The sequence below is a fragment of the Homo sapiens genome, chromosome 3 (genome assembly GCF_000001405.40).
Source record: "Homo sapiens chromosome 3, GRCh38.p14 Primary Assembly".
Classification (NCBI taxonomy): domain Eukaryota; kingdom Metazoa; phylum Chordata; class Mammalia; order Primates; family Hominidae; genus Homo; species Homo sapiens.
In genome coordinates, this window is record NC_000003.12 from 137,704,860 (window position 1) to 137,714,397 (window position 9,538).

At 39.4% G+C, this 9,538-nt stretch overlaps 1 long non-coding RNA gene across 2 annotated transcripts in view; it reads right to left on the reverse strand.

Moving 5' to 3' along the window:
* The window catches only part of LOC105374126 (uncharacterized), an 87,216-nt gene extending 77,948 nt beyond the window's left edge, over positions 1-9,268 (reverse strand). The window contains exons 1-2 of one of the 2 annotated variants that reach the window (XR_924532.1): positions 8,855-8,975; positions 5,934-6,026 (exon numbers count right to left, since the gene is read on the reverse strand). This is a non-coding gene — a long non-coding RNA (uncharacterized LOC105374126). Of the gene's footprint in view, positions 1-5,933; positions 6,027-8,854 lie in introns of both variants that reach the window. The other variant, XR_924533.2, reaches the window with a different exon arrangement.
* Positions 9,269-9,538: the final 270 nt, after the last annotated feature.

Sequence of the window (9,538 nt, forward strand, 5' to 3'; positions counted from 1 at the left end):
TCTCCTATGATAACATTGCCTTCTTCTGAAATATGTCCTAAAGGACCTGCCTGAGGCTGTTTTACAGTTACCTTTTTTTAATAAGTAGGAGGAGTACACTCTAAAATAACAATGTAAAAATAGTCTAGTAAATACATAAGCCAGTAACATAATCATTTATTATTTTTATCAAGCATTATGTACTGTGCATAATTTTATGTGCTATACTTTTATACAACTGGCAGCACAGTGGACTTGTTTATACCAGCATCACCACAAACACATGAGTAATGAATCGTGTTATGATGTTATGATGGCTATGACATCACTAGGTGACAGAAACTTTTCAGCTCCATTATAATTTTACAATACTGTCACATATGTAGTTTGTGGTTGACTTAAATATCCTTATGCAACCCATGACTGTACATATATACGCAGATATAAATATATAGATATATACATACACATTATTCATTTTTTTGTTACTTCCTATAGATTTAGTGTTAATTTCTCTCTAGGCTGAAGAACTCCCTTTAGCATTTCTTATAGAACAAATCTGCTGGCAATAAATTCTCTCATTTTTTTCTATACAAAAATGTCCTTCTTTTAGGTTTATTTTTAGAGGAGAGTTTCATTGAATAGAAAATGCTGGGTTGACAGTTTTTTCTTTCAGTATTTTGAATATGTCATTCCAATCTCTTCTGACTACCACTGTTTGTTTATTTATTTATTTATTTATTGAGATGGGGTCTCTCTCTGTTGCCCAGGCTGGAGTGCAGTGGCAAGATCTCGGCTCACTGTAACCTCCACCTCCTGGGTTCAAGCAATTCTCCTGCCTCAGCCTCCCGAGTAGCTGGGACTACAGGTACACGCCACCATGTCTGGCTAATTTTTGTATTTTTAATCAGCCCTTTCTTGTATCATTGTTACCATTAGGTAATGTGTCATTTTCTTTAGCTATCATAAAAAATTTTCACTTTTATCATTGTAGTTTAACTATAATGTGCCTAGTTGTAGTTTTCTAGGTAGTTTACTAAGAGTATGTTCTTGTATTTATTCTGTCTGTGATTTGTTAAGCTTCTTGTATCTGTAAATTACTATTTGTCATAAAGTTTGGAAAGTTTTCATCTATTATTTTAAAAATATTTTGTTCCTTTTTCACCTTGCTTTCCGGGACTGCAATGACATGTATTAGATCATTTCATATTATCCCACAGGTCTGTGACGTTCTGTTCACTTTTCTTCAATCTTTTTTCTCTCATCTTTGAAGTGGATAATTTCCATTTATTTATCTTCAAGTTCACCGATTCTTTTTTTGCCATCCTCAGTTTTCTGTTGAGCTCATCAGGTATACTTTTCATTTCAGTGGTTGTACTTTCAGCTCATAGATAGATACATAATAGATTCCATTTCACTGATAATATTTTTATATTTCACTTATTAAAATTATTTTCCTTTAATTTTTTAAATGTATTTTTCTTTGAGTCTATGAACATATTTTTGATAGCTATTTTGATGTCTGTCTGCTAAATCCCACATTTGGTCCCTCTTAAAGACAGTTTCTATTTACTTAGTTTCTTAATGAGTACAGATCACACTTTCCTTTTTCTTTGCATTTCCATAATTTGACTGAAAACTGAACATTGTAAATAACACATTGTGGCAATTCTGGATTTGGCTGCATCTGAAAATTGTTGGATTTTGGCCGGACACGGTGGCTCAAGCCTGTAATCCCAGCACTTTGGGAGGCCAAGGTGGGCGGATCAGAGAGTCAGGAGATCGAGACCATCCTGGCTAACATGGTGAAACCCTGTCTCTACTAAAAATACAAAAAAAGAAATTAGCCAGGGGTGGTGGTGGGTACCTGTAGTCCCAGCTACTTGGGAGGCTGAGACAGGAGAATGGCATGAACCCGGGAGGTGGAGCTTGCAGTGAGCCGAGATTGCACCACTGCACTCCAGGCTGGATGACAGAGCGAGACTCCGTCTCAAAAAAAAAAAAAAAATTGTTGGATTTCTTTATATTAGTCAGTTAACATGCCTGGACTAAAACTGCAAAGCTTGAATCCTCCACTGTGTGCTATAGTTATATACATATATATAGTTATATAGTCATACATTGCTTATCTTGTCTCTGTTCAGTTTTTATGGCTTCTTCCAATGCTTTTTGTTTTTCTGATGCTTTTTTAGCCTGGCCCCCTTAGGAACTCCAGTGAACCCACGTAATTTGAAGTATCAGAGAGAAAATTAAGCAAGGTTCCTCCCCTCAAGCTCAACATTTACTGAGAAAACAAAAAAAAATAAGTAGGCAGTATCAATATCATCCGACTAATTATTTAATAAAAATATGCAAAGGGCATACAAGTAGTTCAGAGTAGAAAGCACTTAACTCTAAAAGAAACAAGTGATCCAGGAAAACTTTATAGAGAAGCTGACACCGAGGCTGGATTTTGAAAAGTAAGTAGTAATTCAGAGGTGAATGGAGAAAAAGGACATTTTATATAAATGGATATCCAAGAGCAGATGAGTATGACAAATCATGACATCCTAACAACAGATTATTTGATGTAGCTAGAGCATAAGGACTTGTGGGTGGGGGGGCAAAGCTGGAGATTAAAACAGAATGTACATCATAAACAACCTGTATACCAAGTTAAGGGGTAAATGCTTAATCCTGGAGAAGATGATGAGCCACTGAAAGGCTGTAGGCTATGTTAATGGTGTATTAGGGTAATCCAGATAGGAGACAGTTATAGCATGGTCTAGGACGGTAGGAGAAGAGTGGAAATAAATGAGCAGCCACGATGGGTAAAACAAGCAGCAAAATAGAGCTTGGGATGCAGGAGTGGGAGGCAGCAAGGATGACAATAGAGACCTCCACTTAGGCAGCCAGGTAGAGGATACAGCCATTTATCCAAGGTAGAAAGTGCAAAAGAAACAGAGCATTGAGGTTGGGGAAGAACAAATAATGTGTTTAGCTTTTGATGTGCTGAGGCCAAGGCACTGGGGCAAATCAGAAAATTCTGGCAGGCAGTTGAAAATATAGTCACCAGAATGCTCAGGCAATGCAGTGTATGAGCAAGAGACTCTGGAGAGAGTGTCCAGATTGAGAAAAGAGATGGTGTGAGAACAACACCTGGGGGACCCTGATACTTAAGGAATGGGCTAAAAAGGCAACTGAAAAGATAAGAAAGAGGAGTTGATGATAGTGTATATGGTAGAGGTAGTCATAGGACTAAAGATAGTAGCATCTCTTACTACAGATACCTTATCTGGCTTCAATCTTGAGAAGGGCTGGCCTCAGCTACATCTTTTTCCGTACTTCTCATTGGTCCCTCTAACTATTGCCCCTAATCTAGACTGTATGTCAGACCCCTCCCCTTATGAATTAATTAGAAAATTCCTAATAGATACATTATTCCCAGAGGTGTTATTGTATTACTAGCAACTTTGGTCCAGTTGTAAATTGATTGTACTTATTGAAGCATAGCAAAACAGTCCCCTGGCAACTTCACTCCATCCATCAAATGTCATTATGAGGTACCGGTGATGGAGGCCCACAGAGTCCCAGGGTCAGGCTCATTAGCCAGAGCATCCTTCAGTCTAATTCTCTATGAACTTCCCATAATAGCCTTCTCCACAGGGTCCCTAGGTCCTGGGCCCAGGTAAGGGAAATAGTATGTCCTGACAAAGATTAATCAATTGGAAATTCCTGCACTTCTCAGGAATCCAAAAGTGGAGGGATTTTTCTGCTCTAACAAACACATATATGTACACATGCAAAACAGCATGAGAAGTACATTTAAACAGGGAAAAGACTGGGTGTGGATTTGGACAAATGTTCCCTATGGATCCAGAATTCCTTTATCTCAGTAATTCCAACTTGCATGAATTTCCGAACTGAAAAAAAAGATATGTACTCCAAGGGAAAAATTAATTACTAACAGCAATCAAAGGTTAAGTGCTGATGCATGTTATCTTTCTTAAATTTCAGAAGACATATCCATAATTTACAACCAAAGAGAAAGGTTTAGGTTAATATTTGAATAATCCTGAATTGGAAGCAGGAGAATAAATTTGGAAGTAAGAACAGGGGTGTTGGAAAGAGGATGGAGAAGGAGAGACTGGAGATGGTGGTGCAGAGGAAGGAAGCAGAAGCCAGATGGAATTTTAATGGAACTTGTCGTTCTCATGAAGACTCAGGGTGCCTAAGGCCAGAAAAGATTTTGAAGCAAGATTTGATGACAGAGCTTAATATATGCCTATCACTTGCCATAATTACACTATGATTTAATCTACAGGTTCAATATCTCAGAAGTATCTTTACCCCTCCAAAGATCTGAAGCTGCATTTGGGGTATGCTGCCACTAGATGGCAATTAGTGCCTTGATCTCCAGCGGGGCAATGCCAAAGAATAAACAGCATGCATGTCCACATGTAATCCTTAAGAAAAAGAAAAAGGAAAAGAAAAAACAAAGCTCATCTATGATATATTCTGGTCAGAAACGTTTAATTTGAATCAAGTTTTTAAATGTAACTATATAGAATATACAAAAGATATGGGAACAAGCTAATGATTTCCAGGAAGAAATATCCAGATGAATCTAAATAGGACAATTTGCAGGACACTGATCTGGGTCTCTTCAAAATAATAATATCATGGGGAAGGGAACTGGTCTAGAGATTAAGACACTTGAGGAATATAACATCCAGATATAATGTATGGTCCTGGGTTATGTCCTGGGTTGGACAAAGCTACTTTAATTTGGGGGAGGGGGGATAATTAGGGAAATGTGAATATGTATGTTATTTAGAAGTATTATTTACTTGTTAAATAAAATAGTGTTATTTTGGCTATGTAGTAAAAAAACTTTAATGCATAATGCATTCATTAGAACTTTAATTTTGTTCTAATGAAACTAATGAAATAATGAAAGTGAGTCAATGTCCACCTGCTATGCCCAGAACACCCAGCCTCCTTTCCCGGCTCTGTGCTCACTCACAGGCTCTATTTTTTTTTTTTCTCCATGCTGTGGCTGATATAGTCTTCTGGTTTACAAAGATGAGCATTCACAGCTGAATGTTTCTGGATCCTCAGTTTGATCCAGCTTACTTACTCTCTTGGTTCTGACCCACTGTGCCCCTTAGCCACCATTCCCGGATTTCTGTGGCTTGGCTGTAACAATCTGCCCTTTTCCCCAGACTGATGAGCAGTGAGGCTGTCTCCTGCCAGCAGCTTGTCAGTACCTCCCCCTGCAAGAAGCCCTCTGTGTCCCAAGCTGCCTGCCTGCAGCTAGCTTGACCTGCCCTTCAGAAATCGTAGCATAAAACATAGTCATTGAGAGGGCAGGCACTGGAGCTAGACTGAAAAGGTCTGAATCTCACTGGTTAGGATCTTGGGCAAGTTATTCAATCTCTATGTGCCTTGGTCTTGTCATCTGCAAAATGGGGATGATGACTTTACCTGCCTCATAGGGATGCTGTGAAGATACATGATTCAAAAAATTTAACACTTTTAAGACAGCCCTTGACACGTCATGAGGTGCTCATTTGCCGCTAGTCATTATTAAATGTTAGCTATTCTTGTGTGAGATACTAATTATGTAACAGGTATAACCCATGTGACACCTTGGGGCTACAAATATGGTCTCATTCTGATTTAACTGGCCCCATATTTCTGTCACATTTTACATCATTGTGACGCCCCTTGTTGGATTCTAGCCTCATCAGTCTTGGGCCAGTTCCTAGAATATCCACCTCTTTTTGCTCCCAGGCTATCATAATAAATTCCTTTTACCTGGGATGCTTTTCACATGGCTGACTCTTTCTCATCTTAAATCTCACCTCCCCCTTCATCAGGCTACACACATCCTACCATGTAAAGTGGCCCCACCCTACCCACCTATCACATCTCTGTGTTCTTTTTTTAAAAATCATTATTTATTTATTTACCTTGCTTAGTTTCCACCTCTGCTCATAAAGATTAGCTTCACTTCATTCACTCTGTCACCCCAGGTGACAGAGGGCTTGGCATACGGAAGAACTCTGTGAATAGTTGTTGAATAAATGGACAAGTTAGAAAGGCCACCCAAGTCATTCTGAGCAAATGTTTAAAGAAAAGGTGATGATGTTCCCTAGTCAAAGAAGCAGTGGATATGGGTGTCTTTTAAATGGCGTTTTCTCTTCCTTGGAAAAAAAAAAAAAAAAGGTAACATTTTGCTCTATCAGCCACACCACTACAAGTTTGAAAACAATAATAATTATAGTAATAACTAGAATGGAAGCCAGAGATAACATAATTCAAAGGAGATATAAAGACAAAAATGACTAAAGAATAGAGAAGTAGCAGAATATGACATGGTAGGAAAAAAGAAAAACTAGCCAGGTAGATCTTAGAGACCAGGAGCTTACACCATATTGGGGAGTCTTTTTAAAGAGAACAAAATAAAATGGCAAATAGGCATACGAAAAGGTGCTCAACATCACTGATCATCAGAGAAATGGAAATCAAAACTGCATTGAGCTATCATCTCACCCAGTTAAAATAGCTTTTATCCAAAAGATAGGCAATAACAAATGCTTGCAAGGATATGGAGAAAAGAAAGCCCTCATGTACTGTTCACAGGAATGTAAATTAGTACAACTACTATGGAGAACAGTCTGGAGTTCCTCAAGAAACTAAAAATAGAACTACCATACAATCCAGCTATCTCACTGTTGGGTATATGCCCCCAAAAAAGGAAATCAATATATTGAAGAGATATCTGCACTCCCTCCTATGTTTGTTACAGCACTGTTCACAATAGTTAAGATTTGGAGGAAACCTAAGTGTCCATCAACAGATGTATTAACCCGTTTTCACATCAATGATGGAGACATACCCTAGACTGGCAATTCACAAAAGAAAGAAGTTTAATGGAGTTACAGTTCCACATGACTGGGGAGGCCTCAAAATCATGGCAGAAGGCAAGTAAGAGGACCACGTCTTACGTGAATGGCGGCAGGCAAAGACGGAGAGCTTATGCAGGGGAACTCCCCCTTTTTAAAACCATCAGATTTTATGAGACTTATTCACTAGTGTGAGCACAAGAAAGACCAACCCCCATGATTCAATTACCTCCCACAGGGTTCCTCCCATGACACGCGGGAATTGTCGGAGTTACAATTCAAGATGAGATTTGGATGGGAACACAGCCAAACCATATCAACAGATGAATGGATAAAAAAAAAGTGTTGTAAATATACACAATGGAGTACTATTCAGCCATAAAAAAAGAATGAGATCCTGTCATTTGCAATGAAATGGATGGAACTGGAGATCATTGATGTTAAGTGAAATAAGCCGGGCACAGAAATTCAAACATCACATGTTCTCACTTATTTGTGGGATCTAAAAATCAAAACAATTGAATTCGTGGACATAGAGATTAGAAGGATGATTACCAGAGGCTGGGAGGGGTAGCTGGGAGTTTGGGAGGTAGGGAGTGGGGACGGTTAATGGGTACAAACAACAGAAAGAATAAGACCTACTCTTTGATAGCACAACAGGGTAACTATAGTCAATAATAACTAAATTGTACATTTTTAAATAACTCAAAGAATGTAATTGGATTGTTTGTAACACAAAGGATAAATGCCTGAAGGGATGGATAACCCATTCTCCATGATGTGATTACTATGGATCCTACTGAGAAATTTTCATGGCCAAAGACAGCTGGAAACATGACTTTTTTCAGTCTCCATTCCTAACTCTTTCCACACTAGTCAATTTTATTTAGACAGTGGACTATTTTATTTTATCACATTGTCTATTTTATATCCAAGTAATTAGAATGTAGAATGCTCTTCAAATGGCAAGTGGACAAAAAGAAACATCACAATGTAATTGTCCCTAGCATTGAGTTATGAAATAACGAAGCCCTGAATCATGTAGTATACTTGAATTCAGGTCTCCAAATCCTGCATTACAGACAGGCAGGCTGCATCTCAGGACCATTTTCAATATTGAAAATGGGGGCCAGAAGAATGAAGACAAACAAATACTATGCCAATTTTTTGAAAAGTAGAAAGGCATATTCACAGGGACATGGATGAAGCTGGAAGCCATCATTCTCAGCAAACACATGAACAGAAAACCAAACACCGCATGTTCTCACTCATAAGTGGGAGCTGAGCAATGAGAACACATGGACACAAGGAGGGAAACATCACACACCGGGGACTGTTGGGTGGTGGGGGCAAGGGGAGGGAGAGCATTAGGACAAATACCTAATGCATGCAGTGCTTAAAACCTAGATGACGGGTTGATAGGTACAGAAAACCACCATGGCACATGTATACCTATGTAACAAACCTGCACATTCTGCACACTTTTCTCAGAACTTAAAGTAACATTTTTTTTAAAAAGGCACATTTAAGTATCTACAGACCAATAAACTTGTCATGATATACAGATGGAGTCTAGGGAAGTGACACTAGCCCTGTAAAGTGTACATTTCAGTGCATCTCTTTTGTTCTACAATTGCAGTCTTGGTGTTGTATAAATCCAGACATGTTTGTGTAACTTCACATAGGTATCAGGAAGCTTCTACCAGTTACTACGCACAGAGGACACAACAATGAATGAAAATCCACAGCCCTTCTAGATTGGAAGCCAAGTATCCCAGACTAGAAGAATTTTTATGAGGAAGATTTGAAAATAGCAACCATAAAGTTGACCTTAAAAAAAAAATCCATCAAGCAGAACAAAAGAGTTTACAAACAAAAGGGCACAGAGCTCTATCCCTGGAGTCACCAAGATCAAGGAAAATGCTAGAGACTCCTCCATATCTACCTTTTGATAGTGTCTGGAATTCGTGGGTTCTTGGTCTCACCTGACTTCAAGAATGAAGCCGCGGATCCTAGCGGTGAGTGTTAGAGTTCTTAAAGGCGGCGTGTCCGGAGTTTGTTCCTTCTGATGTTCAGATGTGTTTGGAGTTTCTTCCTTCTGGTAGGTTCGTGGTCTCACTGGCTCAGGAGTGAAGCTGCAGACCTTCGCGGTGAGTGTTACAGCTTTTAAGGCGGGGCGTCTGGAGTTGTTCGTTCCTTCCCGTGGTCTCTCTGGCTTCAGGAGTGAAGCTACAGACCTTCACAGAGAGTGTTACAGCTCATAAAGGCAGCGTGGACCCAAAAAGTGAGCAGCAGCAAGATTTATCGCAAAGAGCCAAAGAACAAAGCCTTCACAATGCAGAAGGGCACCCCAACCGGTTGCTACTGCTAGCTCAGGCAGCCCGATTTTGTTCTTAGCTGGCCCCACCCACATCCTGCTGATTGGTCCATTTTACAGAGAGCCGATTGGTCTGTTTTACAGAGAGCTGATTGGCCCACTTTGACAGGGTGCTGATTGGTGCATTTCCAATCCCTGAGCTAGACACAAAAGTTCTCCACCTCCCCACTAGATTAGCTAGATACAGAGTGCTGATTGGTGCATTCACAAACCCTTAGCTAGACACAGAGTGCCGATTGGTGCATTTACAAACCCTTAGCTAGACATAAAGATTCCCCAATTCCCAGTAGAC